At 33.6% G+C, this 21,123-nt stretch overlaps 1 protein-coding gene across 1 annotated transcript in view; it reads right to left on the bottom strand.

Annotated features, from left to right (window-relative positions):
• Window positions 1-532: 532 nt before the first annotated feature.
• SLC17A6 (solute carrier family 17 member 6) overlaps window positions 533-21,123 on the bottom strand; it is a 41,123-nt gene continuing 20,532 nt past the window's right edge. Inside the window, exons 4-12 of the mRNA NM_020346.3 lie at window positions 20,509-20,623; window positions 19,052-19,139; window positions 17,211-17,297; window positions 14,347-14,489; window positions 9,848-9,997; window positions 5,149-5,281; window positions 3,944-4,054; window positions 3,364-3,491; window positions 533-2,631 (exon numbers count right to left, since the gene is read on the bottom strand). Coding sequence (NP_065079.1) covers window positions 2,296-2,631; window positions 3,364-3,491; window positions 3,944-4,054; window positions 5,149-5,281; window positions 9,848-9,997; window positions 14,347-14,489; window positions 17,211-17,297; window positions 19,052-19,139; window positions 20,509-20,623 — 1,291 coding nt within the window. The 3' untranslated portion in view covers window positions 533-2,295. The remainder of the gene's footprint in view (window positions 2,632-3,363; window positions 3,492-3,943; window positions 4,055-5,148; window positions 5,282-9,847; window positions 9,998-14,346; window positions 14,490-17,210; window positions 17,298-19,051; window positions 19,140-20,508; window positions 20,624-21,123) is intronic.

The raw sequence follows: 21,123 nt of genomic DNA, 5'->3' as shown, positions 1-21,123 counted from the left end.
TTACTGCTAATTGGTTTGGCTGAAACATTATAATATAATGTCATTATACCATTTTAGCTTGATAAAGCTATGCAAACCTTCTGAATTTCTGTTTCTTCATTTACAAGCTGGGAATAAAAAGAGCACCTACTTTGGATGGCCACTGTGTAGTTACATGAGATCCTATATCAAAAAATGACTAGGACAGTTACCTAGCACAGGGTATGTGTGCAATTAAAATTAGGTGGTAATATTGATGTGACCTGTTTTTAGTTTTTTCCTAAATTCTTCTTTAAACTTAGCAGCAGTTGTGAGAAAACTCATTGAAATCTGGAGTTTCACTCGGAGACCTTTTTATTGATTTAAAACTCTATGGAACCACATTCCACACAATCTAAAGAATGCCATGTTCTTTCATTAGATCCCCAATGGCTCCAAAGGTTGTTGTTGTTCTTGAAGCCTAGATTTGGCTTCATTGGGGCCTCCACCAGCTAAATTCACATTAAAGCTAAATACTAAATAAATCCAAATTAATGTATGATTAATGCACTGCTTTTTAAAAAAAGGATAAATAGAGCATTTTATTAACACTTTTTTGCTGCAACAAAATGACAGTCCACATATTTTCATTCAACACAACAAAAGCTGTGATCACATTACATCACTTTGAGGCACAAAGCAAAGGGTATTTTTTTTTTCTTAAGGTAAAGAATGATTTGCATTTTTTTAAACAAACTTTATGTTTTATATTTGCAGTAGCAGGGCCTCCAGTCACTAGCACAGTACATTGAACAGATCAAATATCCAGAATAGACAAAATACACCAATAATATTTTGAGTTGAATTGGGAAATGTATTATCATAATTTTAGGACATTATAAAGGGGTCTGATGTTAGCTTTTTTAAAAGAAAAATAAAATTATTCCAACCACCCAAACAGCTACTACAAGCAAAATGAAGGTAATATACAGACAGGAAATTTTATGCATTGCACTTATTGCTTGGTACACAAATGTTGCAATTCTTGTTGAGTTATATTAAGAAATGACAAGCAAAATGCCTCTTCCCCACCTAAAATTCTATGACTCTATGAAAGTAGAAATTGCAATTCCCTAACCCAACATTAGGTGTATGCTATTTTTGGTTTCGTGTGAAGATTGTTTATTATGTTTCTGTGTATGGACATGTATAAGATATACAGATATATATAGAGAGAGACCATTTTAATATAATGTATTGTCCTATATATTTAAGACAAATATTTCTTAATAGGACTTTAAATAATAAAATTACCTACTTACAATATCTCTATGAAGTTAATCTTTTCATATTATATATAGCTCTGTGGCACAAGTTTCATATAGTATTTAATTATGAAGGAAGAAAGATATCTAAACCATTTTCTATTTCTTTGTTCTTAATATTGCATTTTAAGGGCTATATCTCCATAATAAATTTCTTATTAGATTCTTTGTGGTGTATATATCTCTTTTTTTTCTAATGCAAGTTACAACCAGTACAAAGTTGTAATAAAAAATACATTGAAGTTTATTTCTTTTTATATTTTTTGCAAAAAAGTTATGTGATACGCTACATGAAAAGTTTGATTTTATTGAAATGTGAACTGTTTCATACTATTAGGTAAATGGATGGAAGAACATGAAGCATACCCCTCAACTTACATGTTCTCTTTCACAGAAATAAGTGTTTGTGCCCAAGCATTTCATAGAAAACACTGCAAGATATTCCTTTTGAGGACTAACAAAATATCTCACATTATGCAATTCTAATAGTTATTCAGTACAACTTTGTAGCTGATAGTTCACAATGTATTTCTTTAATTGAGAGATATCCCAACTCCATGATTTTCACTTAATAAATGTCGCCTCTACTTGACGCAGCCAACTTCTGTGTGCTATCTTGCAATACAGTGTAACAAATATATAAGTGCATTTTGCATGATCAAGTAGCTTTGGCTTCTTAACTTTTGTAGGATGAGATGTTGTGCTTTAGTAAATAGTGATGAGTTTTAGCTCATATGAATCCAATGGGTAACTACTTGTTTCTACAATTTTGACCAGTCAACCTTTAAGTCACAAATGCAAGAATGGATGACTTGAATGGAAATGATGGAACTTCACAATTTTACAGATTGCACTTGATGGTAACCTCATGGGTTTGTTTTGTTTTCATTTTTACAGCAAGACTTGCCTGGTTGATATGCTTGCAAGTTTACATCACGTGTTTTTAAAATTTTTGTGCAATCACAATGAATTTAATCACAAACACTAAAAATAAATCCAGTAATTAGTTTTGTTATGAATAATCAACTCGGTCCTTATAGCTATGTGAGTCTTGTACTTCTCCTTGTACAAATTCCTCTTTCTTTTCCCAACCACTAGGCCAACCTCCATTGGCCTGTGTTGTGGCACCATAAGACTTGGTGGTACCATAATTTATATAATTTTGAGTAATGTCCCCTGTTTCTTCATCGAGTTCATCTTCATGAATAAATCCACATTTTTCTTCACTTGTTTCCTCCGGGTCTGCCCAGGGTTGTTTCTCTCCTGAGGCAAATATTGCATAAAATATAACTCCACCATAGTGGACTAGGGCAGCGATCAGGAAGACATACTGCCACTCTTCACGTGACTGCAGTGAGAAAAAGCAGCACTGTGAGAACTGACTCCCCATGATTTAAACGCCTAACATCTTCTCTGAATGCACCACCACTGAGTTTTCATAAAACACTATATTTGGGAAAAATCCATATCCTGATTATGTAAAGCAAAAACTATATAACACTTCTGTAATACTATTACTTTTATTATTTAATGTTTTAAATCTAAAAGTTTAGAAATAAAATTACAAATATATCTATGGCCTGCTGATTTTTAAAATATTCATAATCTCTTTTTTTCCATTGATTTACTTATCTTTTTATTCCATTTCCTTTGTTTCTTTACTTGTAGTAAACCAGAATTTTAAAGCTCTGCATACACATATAAGTACAAATAGCTGATGATAATATTGTTCCTTGGACAACTGCAGAGGAGTCTGAATTGAGGTTTACAAACAAAGCTCAGAAGACATCTGCTTGAGTATTTTAATAAGCTAGAGACAAAAGGGGTTTTTATCACATCAGGGGTATTAGAATTATTAAAAAGGGTTGAGAAACATATTGGTTATTGGTTAGGGAAATGGACTTTCTTGGAATTCTTAAAAAGATACTGTATTCTGAGCCTCATTTATATTTCCCACTCAGAGATGTGGTGACTGGACAAGAAAGAAAATGCTAAGGATAATATTTTAACTCTTTTCCAAAAAGATTATCATTTTGAGAAACTGTCTTCTATGACTAAACATCTGTTTTGACCATCTTACCTTATTCTTTGTCATTGCACCAACAATGATAGGACAAACCATTCCTGACAATGTGCCAACACCATTCGAAATGCCCATTAAGATACTGGCATATCTTGGAGCGATATCCAAGTGGTTAACATTGAAACCTGAAATACACACATAAGTTTTGACTCAGGGCATCCTAAACGTCTTAGAAGTAAATACCTATAGAACCACACATCACAACTCCTTAAAATATACTGGGTACAGAACACGTGCTTAATTACTTTGTGATAATTTCTCTCGGGGATATAATGAGAATAGAATGAGGTATGAATTCTTATCTAATACTTAATATGTGATGTTCACTCCACAGAGAAGAGGTAATGTTTTCTTAACAACAACAAAAAAAGGCAGTCCAGGAGGAAATTGAGTATTAACAAATCTAAATGTTTTCTCAATATTTTATTTTTTTCATTTTCTAGTGGAAATATTTGACTATTATTCAACATATAGAATATATATATGAAGATATCTATAAAAAGGTATATGTATGTGTCTTTTATCAGCAGTCAAAATCAGAATGTCCCAAGTACAAAGAAAAAAAATTATATCTTACCAGATATAGCAAATCCACTGAATCCCACTGCAAGTACCAAGAATGAGATTGCTACCCCTCTAGTATGAGAATAGCCAACGACCAGGAGCAGTGTGGCTTCCATGCCAAAACCTTCAGAAGCAAACACATAGAAATTCTTCAGAAATTTTTGAAATTTTACCAATGAGCCAAAACTGCTAAAAATGTTCCAACTTATTGACCTAGAAATTCCACTTCAGAGAGTCTATCTTCAAAACTAATAATAATCATAATAATCATAATAATTTACCCTAGAGATTCATGAAGCTTTCCTTGTGTTTAATAAAAACATCCAGGCCAGATGCGGTGGCTCATGTCTGTAATCCCAGAACTTTGAGAGGCCGAGGCGGGCAGATCACCCTAGGTCAGGAGTTCGAGGCCAGTCTGACCAACATGGAGAAACCCAGACTCTACTAAAAATACAAAATTAGCTGGGTGTGGTGGCACATGCCTGTAAACCCAGCTACTTGGGAGGCTGAGGCAAGAGAATCGCTTGAACCCGGGAGGCGGGGGTTGTGGTGAGCCGAGATCATGCCATCGCACTCCAGCCTGGGCAACAAGAGTGAAACTCCATCTCAAAAACACAAAAACAAACAAAGAAAAACATCCAAAACAACCTAAAGTTTCAATGATTGGAAGAGGTGAGTTAGTTACAATAAATACAAATGGCATTATTATTTATTTTTTTTATTTTTATTTTTTGAGACGGAGTTTCACTCTTGTCACCCAGGCTGGAGTGCAATGGTGTGATCTCGGCTCACTGCAACCTCTGCCTCCAAGGTTCAAGCAATTCTCCTGCCTCAGTCTTCCAAGTAGCTGGACTTACAGGCACTCACCACCATGCCCAGCTAATTTTTTGTGTTTTTAGTCGAGATGGGGTTTCACTATATTGGCCAGGCTGGTCTTGAACTCCTGACCTCGTGATCCACCCACCTTGGCCTCCCAAAGTGCTGGGATTACAGGCATGAGCCACCGTGCCTGGCCACAAATGGCATTATTAAGCAGTTACTTAAAACTAGGAGTTATGAAAAATTTGATGTAATATGAGGAAGTTATTTTAAGTGAATAATGAAGGCACAAATGTAACTGCATCTAAGTAATTTGATATGTGTAGAAAAAGTTATTCTCTCATGTAGGTTAAACTGATTGAACTAAAAACATGTCCTTAGTGCCACTTATGTACTTACCACCACAATTCATGATCTTTCTCACTGTCGTAGTTGAAAGAATCTGCTTGCTTCTTAGAAAATCTGCAATTTGTCCCCCAATAGGCACAATAATTGTCATTACTAAGTGTGGCACAGCAGATAGCATACCAACCTGATGAAAAACAAGAAGGGAGAGAAATAGACATAACCATAAATAATATGGGCAATTTAATGGCCTTTGTTTCTGAATCTGTCATCACATCTTTATGGACAAAGGAAGGAAAAATAATCTTTCCAAATGATCACTTACTCATTCCTAGAAAAAGTAATGCCTTCCACAGAATAAATTAGAAAAGCTAAATTTACTTGGATTCCTTTAGAAGGTAATTTTTTTTTTTTTGCCACGTAATGCATCAGTAAATTTTGAGTATGAATCAACTCTTCTGATATTGTTAAATGTGTTTGCACGAATACACCCTTAGTGAAAGAGAGGAAAAGTGGTGAGAGAGAGAGAGAGGAAAAATACATTTGTCACATCCTGAAGAAGCTGTATTTTAAATTCATGTTTAATTCATATGGGAAAAATGCATATTTGCACTTTAAATATATATATCATGAGTTTTATAGCACAGACATAATTTCTATAGAGTAAGATCCCAGGTAATGCAGATAATTTCTTCAATTTTAAGTATTTTCTGTGTCAAATATCAATACTTGATCACATTTTTGTATGGTGGCATATAGTTTCTGAATTAATTTCATGCTAAATAGCCTAATTTAAAACTTTACGCACCAAGATCAGTTAAACACATATTTTTACCATTACTTACACACAAAGCACTGTGTTGTAAGCATTATGGGGACAGTAAGTATACATAAAATGCATTTGAATTATGTATTACCGCATACGTGGACTTAATAAACTTTGAATGTAAACACATAAGGAAGTTTTTTACTAAGTATACTTTGAAGAACAATTGTTGGCAGATGGCATTCATAATTTGTGTTTAAGTATGTCTTTCCAATTAGATTATCGAAGGTTTGAGACAAAGATTCCATTTTATTTTACACTGGTGTATAGTAAGGTATCACAATCATGGATTTGAGTTGTAATAATTAATTGAGACAGTAAATGACTCCACAGTAGGTTAACTGTTCAGGCTATAGAATGATCTCTTCCATCCCAGATGGATGATTTTAATAGTGTTCTTATTAAATAAAAAAAATTTAGAGTCAGAAGACTTAAGTGATTGTGAGAGCCAAGTTTTGAATCAGTTCTACGTGAGTCGAAAGACTGGGCTCTTAGCCTTTATGCTGAGCACCACTGCCATGAGAAGGAAAAATCAAATAAAATCAGACAATATATATTAATGTGCTTAGTCTAGTACAAAACTTGGTATGTAGCAGGGGCTCAACAGGTACCTAAATAAAGATGTCAGGTAAACTGACATTAAAAAAAAAAATCATTATTGCTTTTGAGACTAGCATCCTGAGAAAAGTACAAGGCTTTTTATTCTTAATATGGAGTAAATATATTTCAAGCAGTCAATGTGTAGAAAGAAACCTTTGAACAACAACAAAAACATTCTGAAAGACACTATGTTAGGATTTGTATAGAATTACATGGCATATTTTTGGCATTTATAAAGGCAGGCTAAAAGTTTGGGAGTAACCACATTGCCTAAGTCCACATAAACGACTTTCATTCTGACCCAGTATTTAATACATCTGAAAAGTTTTTTAATTGAAAATCCTCTGTTATTTACTATCTATTTGAACAATCATTTTGACTACTTTGGATAAGAAAGGAACAAAGCTATGGTTATTTTTTCACACTTTCAGCAAAGGGTGTGCAAAGCACTATGGAAAATGCAAGGTGCTAAAAATCTACAGGGTTAATGAGATAAGTTTTAGACTATTTTAGCATATTGATTTAACATTTAAGGGTATTGACTCTCCTATTTTCTTAATATGTGGATATACTCTGTATTTGACCTCAAAAGAGCCAAAGAGGTTTCAAGTTTTTGAGCTATTCAGTGGTCTTCTTGGCTTTTGGGGACTTATCATGAGTAATCACTTGACACATGATCAAAATGATCAAAACCTTCCTAAAGATCATTCATGTCAATCACATACAAGTGTGCTTATTATTTTAAGGTTTTGCAAGGCTAGGATAAATGTTTTTGAGCTTATAATTGATTTATTCTTCATAGAAACTCCAGGTAATTAGATTTTTGCCTCATCCTTCTTTTAGCTTTTCTGGGTCATAGTCTAGATCGTATGTCTTCCTATCTGATCCACGTCTTGTTCAGAAATAGCAGCAAAGCACAACCAGCCAACACTGTTCTTCTCCTCCCCTAAATAGGAAGCTCAAAAGGAATGGATGTCTATTCTCATTTGGCTTGCCCCTATAATCTGACCTTTGAAAGTGCTGGTTAATCCTAGCACTGACCCGCTGATATGCCATTTTCAAGGGCCTGAATATGTTACATATAAGCATAGGCTGATATAATATATTAAATTATATATATATATGTGTATGTGTGTATATATATATATACTTGTTTTAAAAAATGAAAAAAGTATTTACCTGATATATATTGTATTAGCCTATGCCAATATATAATGATATATATATGTATATCTCAGTTAACTAATACAATTAACATATAGCTAACTGATATAAAATCTATGTTACAATTTTATTTATATATACAGTGCTGTCTGAACTAAGTCAGTATACTTAGAATGAAGGTTAAGCCATTGCACTCATATTTTTTTCTGTAGGATACCCAATTTAACTAAAGTTGCAGAGAATGACCCTCCATGTAAATATTTTACTTACTTCACCTAAATTTGGCTGCACTTCTTAAATAATATCATTATCATTTAATGGTATTAAGTTAATACCATTATTTAGAGATAAGAAAATTGAAGCCGATAATTATTCAAAACGCTGCCCAAGATTATATACCAATACTTTGTTGTAGAACTTAGATTTGAAGCCATGTCAGTCTAGACCCAAAGCAAATTCCCTATGTTCTCCATCATCTCCTATACAATTTTTTCAGCTAAGTCAGAATTTTTTAAACTAATCTAATTAGTATCTGAAGACCAATCTGTGTGTGTGAATTTATCCACAATTTTATTTAAAAATATAACTAATGAATGAAATAAATCAACCCATCTGCTGGTTGATTTATAATTACTTTTTGCAAAATACCATTGCTTTTACTCAAGCATTCTCAATTAATTGGAGCTACAGGACCAAAATGACCACACAGTTTCATTAACATCAGTTGGCTTCCTCACTCTGCCCCCGAGAACTGGCTTTATTAATAGCCTGTCGGTATCATATTTGTCCTAGATTATGAAAATGGACGCACACCTCCAGCAGCCTTTGTTGAGAAGTATAACACCTCTCAGAGTTCCCAAAGGCTACCCTGGAATGTTTGATCAGCTCTAGAGAGAAGAGCTCTGTCTAAAGCAGCCATTCTTCTCGGGGATGGAGGAAACAGTTTCCTTAGAAACAGGAATTACAAAAGAGCTCTTAGAATAGCTACTCCTAAACTGAGGTTTTCTTCAGTCCCAGGTCTCAGATAGTCTTTCAAGTAGAGATAGAATATGAATAGCGAGCCCAGCTGGACTTATGTAATGACATGAAGAGAGATAGCAAGACCATTGCCAGCACAGACAATGTATTCAGGACTTAGCAAAGGGCTTGGCACAGAGATGGCATTGAGCAGATACTCACTAAATACTTGAATGGATATATGATTTACCTGAATTTGAATGGCATAGTAAAGATAATTAAACAGAAATCAAAGAATCTTTGTCTAAACTTGATTTTGTCGTGCATTACTAGCGTGGCTTTAAGCAATTTAAATGCTTTCTCTAGTTTCTGTTTCCCCATCATTTCAATAGAAATGACGATTGTTGTTCAACAGGTCAAACAACAAAGGTTGTTCATGAATATGAGAGTAGTTTCTAAATTTCGAGTTCCTATATAAAGATAGAGTAGTATTTTTGTGTTCATTTTATCCTCATAGAAAATCTCAAAATGATTATATTCCCATAGCTCTGAACAAATGTCTGTGGAAGTTAGCATGCTGTATTCTAATTGGTAACTTACTTTCACGTTTACACCACCAAGCTGTGAGCATTTTGAGGACAGAAACCATGTTTTTATTTCTGCATCTCACATAAAGTTCTGCACATTGTGTTCAACAAATACTTGTTAAATTAATAGATTGGATGGACAAAATATAAGAGTGTTTTCAGATTTTCTTTTTACAATCCTCATATCTTGTAGCTGGACAAGAGTTCTAAGAGCATTGAAGAATAATTAGATTGGAAATTTGTAAGTAGAATTCTATTTGAATGGAATACTTTTTTTGTTTGTTACATTGTCTGTGAGCTGAGACTTAAAGGGAGTTATGTTTATTTACAGGGAAAAGATTACACCGCTGCTCGCTCCAACTGGGCTCTAAGTTCCATGAAGGCAGAAACTAGGTTTGTTTTGCCTGTATTCTCAGTACCAGAGAGCAATTCTAGCAGACAACAGAATACAGTAGACAATGAAACATTTTACTTTGCTTCTATTTCCTAGCAGTTATTTGTTTAATGAATAAATGAATAATCTCTGAAAATTAGAAGATAAAAATTTTTGCAAATGAATTTAGTATTCACTTAAATACACAGGTAATCCACAATTTATATAAGAATACATTTTACATACCTTGCTAATTTCAAATCCAAAGACTTCCTCAAAATATGCTGGCTGACTAATAAGCAATAAATAAAAAGTCCAGCTTCTGCAGAAGTTTGCAACAATTATTGCATAGACTGGCATGGATGTAAAAAACTTCCTCCATGGAGTCTTGAATTTCTGAAATTCCAAAAAGAGAGACATTATGACCATTTTAAATATTTTCAAACCTAAGTGGGAATAATAGGTGCTTTGCATTTTCAGGATGTATATGACAGGTCATAAGTAGGAAGTAGGAAGATGTAGTGAAGCATTAATTATAACCACCCAGTTAACCTTAGCTACGTAAATAATCATTGGAAGAGAAAAAAAATAAGATCTCAATCACTGCAACTTATTAGATTGTTCCAGCTTTAGGAATATGCAGGATTACATAATTATAGAAAATTGATTCCAAAAGCATAGGTCCTAGTTTCTTAAGGTTTTTTTTTCCATTTGTTTTATTTTTTTAATGGTGATAGACCATATCTCAGCAAAAACTCACTGCCACATCAGTGAGCTTGTGATATCCAAAACATTTCATTTAAAACGTTGAAAATCCAATGTATTCATGAAAAGAAAGATACAAAATCTTAAGAGTACAGTATTCTAGACCCTACCTGAAGTCAATTATTCTACTACCAATCAATCTAAGTCAATTATTCTACTATCAATCAATCATAAATTATCTTGATAGCTAGTAGCTATAACTATAAATTCTGTGACACTGGAGTTCAAGGTTCTATAAAACTCAGAACAGCTGGGTGAAAGCATTTGTCTACCCCCAGCGTACCTTTGGCACATAATTAGTTACTTAAAATATTCAAAGCATTCAACATTAACAACCTAAATATGATCAGCTTTGCATATGACCCCTTTAAAAAATTAAACCTAATTGTACTTAAAGTTTCAGTGTATGCCAAAATGTAAGCAAGTACATATTCTCCCCCAAGACTAATATTTTTAGCCATTAAAATATCTCTCATATTCCCTAATTATTTCTCAATTACTTTATTCTGAACACCAAAATACTGCTTGGTGAGGAAACAGTAGCCTAAAATAACTTTGTTAAAAGTTAACTTGGGATCCTTGACCTAACTAAATTACTGAAAGAGGAAGCAAACACCTTTCACGTGGATTTAACAATTATTCCTGAATGGAAAACCTCATAATTGCTAGTATTGGTTGTGGCTGTAATTAAGCCTTTTAAAGATCACTTTAAATGCAACACAGTAGGAAGTTATGATGTGGTGATCATAAATATATGCAAGACAAAAAAAGAAACAAACAAAAACAAAAATCTGTCCTAATACTATGTAATGAATTCTGTGGCTTTGGATAAAAAATTTTAGTGGCAGTGTCATAAATGGGTTCCAAAAGTACAGTTTTTAAAAAGAAATCAATATGTTCTGGGAAAATAATTCCAGATGCGTACACTTATTTCAAAGATAATAAAAATGTCAGAAGACAGAAATGTCTGCATTATAGTATTATGTTAGCATAAGAAATGACTCCAGAATACTATTAAAAGTAAAAGAACTTTTCCCTGTTGGGCAAAGATCCTTTCATTCATACCAGGATCATCTTTCCTAAGAACTTTATTCTTTACATGGTAAAGTACTTCATCAAAAGCAATAGAAAAATATCTCACCTTATACCTTAAAAAATTGTTGGCGGATTAAAGGGAAGATTATGGTATTCTGATAATGTTCTATTTATTGAACTCCCTGTTTATGTTTAGTTTATAAAAATTAAGCAAGCTGATTGTTTACTATTAGTGTTTTTTTCTGTACATATGCTATATTTAAATATATTTTAAAGAAAAACAGATTTAAAAGACTTTGCAATAAGTTGCAATGTGTGATTCTTGATCAAATTCAGATTCAAAACAAACAGCTTAAAATAAATTTGAATATAGGTTAGATATTAGAATATAGATGGTATTAGAAATTTGAATATGATGTAGGAGTTAAATGATGATACAGAATTGTTTTTAATTATGTTAAGTGTGATAGTAGTACTGAGATAGTGAGGGAGAATATCATTTTTCTAGATATGCATATGAAGTATTTATGGATAAAGTATTTTGATGTTTTATTTACTTTGAAATAGTTCATCAAAACAAAAGTGAAATAAATATGACAAGACGATAATTGTTACACCTATGTGATGAGTATATGATATTCCTGTCAGTACTCTTTCTCCTTTGCTGTATATTAAATTCACTCACAATAAAAAAAGTTCAAATTAACTAAAATGCAAGTTCTATTCCCACATAATCTCATTTTAAAATTTACTTTGAAGCTACAGGAACATATGAAACATCAGTAAGAAGTAAAATATTGTCTTTAGAAAAGCAGTGAGGTATAGGAAGTGGGGAGCTGAAGATTATGCTGTTTTTTCATTCTCCTGCTGTTCTTTCTGGGGTCATTTGTAGGAATTAGTTTTTACTTAGGCAGAATTTCTGATTATTTTTAAAATTTATTTCTAATCTAGACATATGACCTCTCAAGAACTGGCAAATAAAAGAACATAATGAATTAATAGGATATAGGCTGATCACATTAATTTGGGGCTAGAAATTGAGGCTAAACTCAGAACTTCTGCTCAAAATAACTGCAGCTAGTGGGCACCAGTGCATACTAGCAATCTTCCACCCACTCCCATATCACCTCTTGCTTCTGAGTAGCCACCGTAAGAAATTATTAGTCTATTTATAGAAGGAAACACAAAGAGGAAAGTTCTAATGCCAAGCTAACTCATGGAACAACTACACAGTAAAGATTTGTTTAAACCATTGAAGTTTAACTTCTGAATTATATATGATATGGGATTTTTCTTATTCATTAAGGGCCAATTTGGCTCAACAATAATGGGTGATAGACTTTTTTTTTTTTTAACCTATGATGAGATGTCAAAGACAGGCATTCTCTTACAAATGAAGTAGAGAATCTGAGCTAGAATCAAACACACCTAGACTAGGGAGCAGGAGGTGTTTGTTTTAAAAGAACAAATGCATAATATGTAAGGGGCATTGTTTCTTCAACTAGTGTATGACACCTTTCAGCTCTTAGCATAAGGAAACTATCATTGATCAGATCGCCTAATGCCTCAATATGTCTAAATACACTAATTTTACTAAACAGTGTTCTCCTTTTTTTTTTTTTTTTTTTTCGAGACGGAGTCTTGTTTGTCGCCCAGGCTGGAGTGCAGTGGAGTGATTTCAGCTCACTGCAACCTCCACCTCCCTGGTTCAAGCAATTCCTCTGTCTTAGCCTTCCGAGTGGCTGGGATTACAGGCTCACACCACCAGGCCCGGGTAATATTTTTGTATTTTTAGTAGAGACGGGGTTTCCCATGTTGGCCAGACTGGTCTCAAACTCCTGACCTCAGGCAATCCACCCGCCTCGGCCTCCCAAAGTGCTGGGATTACAGGCGTGAGCCACCGTGCCCAGCCACGACGCCCAGCCACCTTTTTAAAATATAACATCAGGTGGCTTTTGTATTAATTACTATGTACAATGTATCAGTGTTATGTGGAATAAAACATTTGCATTATTGAAATAGAACTATGTTTTCTCTCTTTTTTAGGTAAATCAGAAGAAATCAAATCATCAGAAAAAAGGGCTTCACAACATTGTCTTTATAATGCTTGATATTCATAGTAATAATCCTGAAAGATAATGATATTTTATCAATAAAATAATTAAATTATGTTATAATTCTTTTATATCAGCTGTCTATTATTGGCATTCTAATGCTTCAGTATCTCCTAAACTACATATGACATAAATACACATGTATTAAACTTACATTTAGAATATAGTAGTCCTCCCTTAACCGCGGTTTCACTTTCTGAGGTTTCAGTTACTAGTTGTACAGTACAATAAGATATTTTACAGGGTGGGGGGGGCACATTCACTTAAGTTTCCTTACAGTATATTGTTATAATTCTATTTTAGCATTAGTCACTGTGGTCAATCACTTACTATACCCAATTTATACATTAAATTTTATCATAGGTATGTATGTATAGGAAAAACATTATATGTAGGGTTCGGTAGCAACCCGGGGGGTCTTGGAATAGATCTGTTCAGGATGCGGGGGGACTACTGTATTCAACAAACCAAAAATTGCCATTTTCATGGCTGATTTGGATTTTTTTAACGTAAAATGAACAACTATTTATTGTATTTGTTTAAATATAGACCATATTGAACTGTTTAAAAATATTGTTTAGGTTTGCAGTCATAGTTATCACCCAGTGTACATTTTTAAATGCTTAAGAAAGGATAAAGGAAAAAAATAAATGACAGATGGAGGAAATAGCTATTATTCCTAAGTCAGAGAATATGGATGGACCAAAATAAAAGAAGTTATGATTGATACCAAATTAGTTTTGCTGAGGAAGAACTTGTAAGATAGTTTGGTTGGTCAATGGGGGCGAGATGGGAATAAGATAGGAATATACACCATAATAAATTTCTTACTTCCATTGCACCTAAAAGATTTGCACTCTCTCCAATGCTTTCTTCTATGTACCTACGTTCTTCATCTGTAATAGTAGGATGCTTTGCAGGACTTTCATAAGACACCAAAAGCCAAAACATGTACCAGACCATTCCAAAGCTTCCTGCAAGCAACAGTTCAGAAGGAGAAAGTCACTTCCATTTAACAGTGATGTGCTGCAATAAAACTGCAATCATCTCAAGACAAACATATTCTATTAGAAAGAAGAATTCAAGCTTATGTTTCTCCAACTGACGTTAGCCATCTTTTCTTCTCTTTTGCCATTAAGCTTCAAACTTCTTAAAGGCCAGTCCTGTGGTTTTATCTCCTTGTCTCTATGAAATAGCACTGATATACAATAAGCCATAAATAATTATTAGAATGGTGTAGTTTGGAAGGTATTCATTCATCCGACAATACTTAGCAGTTAGCATTCTAGGCACTCTGGTTAAGTGAGAGAAATATAATGAAGAAAACAAAATTCCTGTCCTCAAAGAATTATTCTGGGGGCAAATTCTTTTCTTTATTGCCTGCCTAGAATATATAAAAGTGGTTGCATTTCCAGAGAAAAGAATTGCTCTTTTCCCTCTCCTGTTAGCACTTCCAGATCTGGCAAACAGACAATTAAATAAAACCTAGAATATTTTAGCATGAGTGGCTACATTACATAAAAAGTGGGCCTCTGTACTTCATGTGGTAACAACACTTTACGTGACTGTATACCATATTATTTTCAGCACATAGTATTGCCTATTGATCCTTCTTTGGGCAGACAAAAGTTATAAATTCCAAGGCCCTAAGCTGTAAATCCTTTTTCATCCTCTTCTTTATTTAATACTCTTACCATTAAAACATGTCCTTTTTGTGCGATATAAATCTGTAAGCATTAATAATAGCAAGAATCTCAAGTGATTTATTCTAATTTCCCAGCAGTTGGCCATTTCATTTTTCCCTCACACTGTTCTGTTTGTCCCTTGGGTAACAATCTAAATGCTCCTGATCCCTACAACACTTTTTCTTTGGCCTGTTCAATCTCCAAGAAGGGTTTCCTAACACCATACATAGCTTCTGATGAGCTGTGTTCCTTTTAACTACTGAACATTGCAGTAAACATGATTTAGGTTCAGATAGTGCTTAAAAATTCAGAATAATATAGTGTTTACAGAATATAACTCCCAGATTCAAATCCTGACTGTCATTTATTCGCTATATGATCCAATCAGTAACTGAATCTCTCTAAATCTCCACTATAAAATGAGATAATAATTCATTTTTATGGGAATATAGAAAAGTTAAAGGAGGTAATATATAAATCAACAAGTAGAGTGGATGGCACAAAATAAGCTTTCAAAAAATGAGAGATATTGTAATTTTATAATAATTATCATTACCACTAACAGAATTCACCTAAAGTGCCAGATACGCTGCTAATTACTTTATATGTATTATCTTTTTTAACTTACCCCACTATACTGATCTTATCTCTTTAATCTTTAAAATGCGAAAACTGAATGTGTGACTCCAGACCAAATTATTGTTACACACAGCAAGTAAGAAAGTACTATGATATGGTATTTTCAGATTATCTGTTTACTTTTTGTATCATTCAATGATAAATATCAAATGAGATATAACTTGAAATAATGATATTGGTTGTTTATGAGTGCCTTGTTTAAATTTGTATTCTTACTTTAAGGTCACATATCTTCACTTAAGTAATGGACAAAGACACAAAACATAGTATTTAATTGGATAGCCATACCAACTTGTACAATACATCCTATAAAACAAGTGCTTTTAAACTTTGTTGAATTATGCACTCCTTTGAAAATGTAATGAAGAGTATAAATTAAAATCTGATTTTTAAAAAATCTCCCTAAGAAAAAAAAAATGTTCACGAATACCTATATGACTTGCAATTTAGGGCATTCATGGATCCAAAAACCCATCCATGGCTTTTGAACCACAAAAAGAGTCCCTATGATAAGTGACATTTAATAACCTTCTACAAGCATAATAATTTGTTCTGATGAGAACATTTCAAAATGGGAATGAATTAGGGCAAATTTAGAAGCAGCCAGATACTGTTCTACCACATGACTTCATTAATATTTCAGATTCTCATGGCAATGTCCAAAGATGATATTAATCAGTGACAATATCAGTTGGGATCCAGCTTTCCTTTATTTTTCCTTTCCTCATCATTAAAAAGTGCCTCTTAGAAAGAAAGACTGTAGGGATATTTTGAAATAGTTACAAAGTGAATATCAAGACTGTTTTAGACTTAGGATTACATATTTTATTTCAATGTGGAGGCTTAATTGCCTTTAATTCTGGAGGACTGAGATATGCTGCTACAGCAGCTAACTGCTGATATTTCATTACGGAATTGAATAGTCACTTTAGCACCACCACCCCCTTTCAGCTTTCCACCCCCCCTTTCAGCTTTCCACCCCCATTCAATCTTGAAGAGGCAGAATTAGGAAAATGACCAAAAGGCAATAGCAAAGGGAGGTGACTGCTGCCTAACTCTTTCCTCTTCATCAGCTTTTAATCAAGAGCTAATTTAATATTTTTTCATAATGAAGGACATAGATTTACTAAATGACAAAGTTCCTGTCAGCAATGTGGTTGCTTTTTAAAACAAGAAATAGCAATCTAAGAAAAATAACAGAGATGAAATATTTTCCTAATCCTCTCAGAATACAATGGAAGGATTCTTAAGAGAAGAAAATAAGTAAGTAAACATAGAAATGTATTTAGTGATTGATCTCATTGTCTGCAACCATTTTCTTTTAGCCTATGCACATTTCCTTTAACTCTATTGCATAGAAATATAACATACCGTAGACATAAAACACTGAAGACCAGCCAGTGTACTGCACAAGAATGCCAGCTAAAGGCATTGCAATCACAGCTCCGGCATAGGAACCTAAAGTGTAAGGAAGAATGGGAGAAAGGTGAGTGAAATCAGTAGAAATTATTGATATCATCTCACATTCCTTTGTTGATTCACACAGACGCTGGAACACTCAGGTACATGGGCCTCACACCCATGCACATACCCTCCATCACCAAACACATATATGTCTACATACGTACACAGGAACACGGGATTACACAAGTGGATAACACCTACCTCCTACCCAAGACACAACAGAGATTTAAAAATAATAATGGAGACATGCTGACTGGCATGCTGATTGGCATGTGTCCTGCATGTCTGTGTGCTGGACTTGGGACAGAGTATGGCAATACTAACCAGACACCTAAAATCTATTCTTGCGACCTCAAGCATGTATCTCCTTGTAGCAAATTCGTGCAGTTTCATGTTTGTGTAGCTTTTACTGACTTCATTTTAATTGTTTTTCTCTGCCAGCGGTCTCTTTGTTAGTATCCATGATTGAAGGCATATTGCTTCAGTTCTCAAAGCATGGCCAGAAGATGTCATCAAGGTAAGTTATCACGTTTTTCCCCTATGGCAAATTTGTTTTCTTTGCTGTCCCATAAAATAGTTTAAAACATACTGACAATTCTCATGATAATAGGTAGCATTCATTAGCTTTTCTAGTGAATATCACCTAATTTATATCTCTTTGAATTTTACATAGTGGGTTATTAAAGGCAATTGTAAAAAAAAAAAGGTCTTAGACATATAGACAGAAATGGCAATATTTATGCCCTGTGATTTAGACTCAAATGCATGTAAATTCAAATGCTACAGGCAATAATACTGTTAACCTTATGGCTTAAGTATACAGCAAAATCACAGCAGCCTTAATTTCCTATTACTAGCATTATTTACAGCAGTTCTAATATCTGATTTGGAAAGGGAATTGCTCTCTTGCCTTACTGCTCTGGTAGAAAGAGTAAAACGTGCATTCTGAAGGCACAAAATGACCTTAAATTAAACTGATTGTCTTAAAATGTTTTAAAAGTTAGCAACAAACAAAAAGTAGCTTCAGATTAGCAGAAAGAGCTCTACACTTCAAAAGCTGGGATTGAAGCTTTAATACATGTTCATTAATTCTATTTCCCAAAATAGTAGTAAGGTCAGTTTTGATCCCAAAAATAAAAGTTCCAATGAATGGGAAATTATAGCAACAGTGCTTAGGAGAATACTTAAAGATCACATTAATTTAATTAATTTAAATTATAATAGTTATTTTCTATAGGCATTTTATTCACTATAATTCAAACATATAGCTGTATTAAATATAAATTCTGAGAAACTGTTAGATTTTAACCCCAGGCAGAGTTCAAAGTAAATTTAATATTTATTTGTAAAAATAAATACATAGTCTAATTATGTTTTTATCTCTGTAAATGTGTTTAAAATTTGTATTTTTATATCTTTGTGTCTAGGTATAATAAAAAGAAAATACTGAGGTTCTCAAAAAAATGGACTGCAGTATAAGAGTATTATAAAAACCACCCATGAATATATTTGAAATCCTAGATGAAATGGATCAATTCCTAGAAAAATACAAACACAAGAATAAATAGAAGATTTAAGCAAAACAATAAAACTAAAGAAATGGAAATGGTGGTCAAAAACCTTACCACTCACAGATGTTCATACAAAACCCAGATGGTTTTACAGGTGAGTTTACCAAATTTTCAATTCTTATTCAAGTTGTTCCTAAACTTTTAGCCACCATAGCTGCATCTGCACACAGTACTCACCACAAAAGGAGGTGGTTGCCAGTCTACTCCTCTCTAGAGGTGGGGCCCATTTGCTCCATATCCCATGACATGCTGGGTAGGTCACACCCTGTGATGGGGGAAGATACTCATCACTGTCACCATTTAGGATCAAGAGTCTTTTTAGTATCCTGTACAAATCCTCCCTGCCCTTCAGACTTCCTTCCACCTCAATTTTCTTTTTTTCTGATTAAGGTAAAAGAAAAGACTGTATATTAATCAATTTATCTGCAATTCTGAACAGTTTGAAAAAATTTGGGAGATCATTTTGTAGGGCATTAAATTCAGTAAATTCCAAATATAAATATCTATACAGAGAAAAGTGAAGTTTAGATCCTTGGAGCTCACACTTCCTGAAAGCAGTGTCTAAAATTTAAGACCTTTAAAATTATTAGTCTTTTTCTGTTATTTTGAACCTATCTTTTTTTTGGGGGGGGGGGAAGGAGAGCGGGTTTTTTGGTTTCGTTTTTTATTATTATTATTTTTTTAAGTTCTGGGGTACATGTGCAGGATATGCAGGTTTGTCACATAGGTAAATGTGTGCCATGGTGGTTTACTGGACCTATCAACCCATCACCTACGTATTAAGCCCAGCATTCATTAGCTCTTTTCCCTAATGCTCTCCCTACACTGCCCTTCCCCAATAGGCTGCAGTGTGTGTCGTTCCCCTCCCTGTGTCCATGTGTTCTCATTGTTCAGCTCCCATTTATAAGTGACAACATGCAGTGTTTGGTTTTCTGTTCCTACATTAGTTTGTTGAGGATAATGGCTTCCAGCTCCATCTGTGTCTCTGTAAAGGACATGATCTCATTCCTTTTTATGACTGCATAGTATGAGAAAGGGTTTTTTTTTTTTTAGTGCCTTAATATTTTACATTATTTATCTATTTCCATTATACTCCATGGAAAGAGAAGGGGAAATTGGTAAGCCGAACTCGAGTTTTTAAGTGGAATTCTTTCAAAGTCTGCAGGCTGATGGAGCAAGAGTTGATCATTAGAATTGAATGCCTCAAAAATGCATTCGATGAAATATTTCAGTGAAAACTCATATCGTGATTCAAGGCCATCAGGAACTTACTTAGTATAAAACTCCCAAGATACTAATTCATGGTTATCACCAGCAAAGGACAAACTCTAAAATTCTTGTCATGACACATTAACAAAAGTCCCTGTTTTTTTTTAAGTCAAATAGGCATTAAAATATTTCTTTAATCCCACTCAATTCTAGAGAGAAGGAGATAAGCAGTGATATTCATGGTTTCATATCATTTATGGACAAAATATCTGACTGTCTAACATTTCCAGTGTTTCATTTTTTATTTTAACTCTATTTAGATGCAACCTAATACAATATATTTATTTACAGATAAAGACAAAGATAAACTGGTGGTTCTCAACCAAATGCCAATCTTAAAAAGGCTTCACCCTGAAGTTACATACCTCAACAAGTCCCTGCAGTATTCTGACAAAGATGACACATCCATAATGCACTCTGGCTGCTGATGGAATTAGCATATTTAGGGTAGAGGTAAGAAGTATGGCAGCTCCGAAAACCCTGAAATAGAAAAGATGAGAACACTGTTTAAATGATTCAGCATCTTATATATACATATCTAAATTTCTCAGGAGAAGTGAAACATTTAAAGTAATAAAAAAATCGCCAATAATTTTAAGGTAGATTGTTTTTTCTAATATATGTTCTGGACTTAACAGGCTAGCCATTGTGAATATATACATGGGCCATCTAGAAATTCTATATTTGATGCTTCAAAAAATAAAAGGAGTCAATACATTTGGTTATACTATTATTTTCTTTATAGACTTAATTACAAATTATAAATATTTAATAAATCAATATATGTTTTGGACTCTATTTCATTCTACAATGTAAACTGCTTAAGGGTAAGAGCTTGTTTTTCACATCCATTGTATCCTTGACACTTAGCACAGTGCCTGACACACAGTTGGTAATAACTGAAGAGTTACTGGAAATAATGAATGCATAAATAAAGTTATTCCTCACATTATGCAACTACTTGTAGCTTTCCTAGAAGC

The sequence above is a fragment of the Homo sapiens genome, chromosome 11 (genome assembly GCF_000001405.40).
Source record: "Homo sapiens chromosome 11, GRCh38.p14 Primary Assembly".
Lineage (NCBI taxonomy): Eukaryota > Metazoa > Chordata > Mammalia > Primates > Hominidae > Homo > Homo sapiens.
Note: the sequence above shows the minus strand (reverse complement) of the source record. Positions and strands in the feature narration are given on the sequence as shown.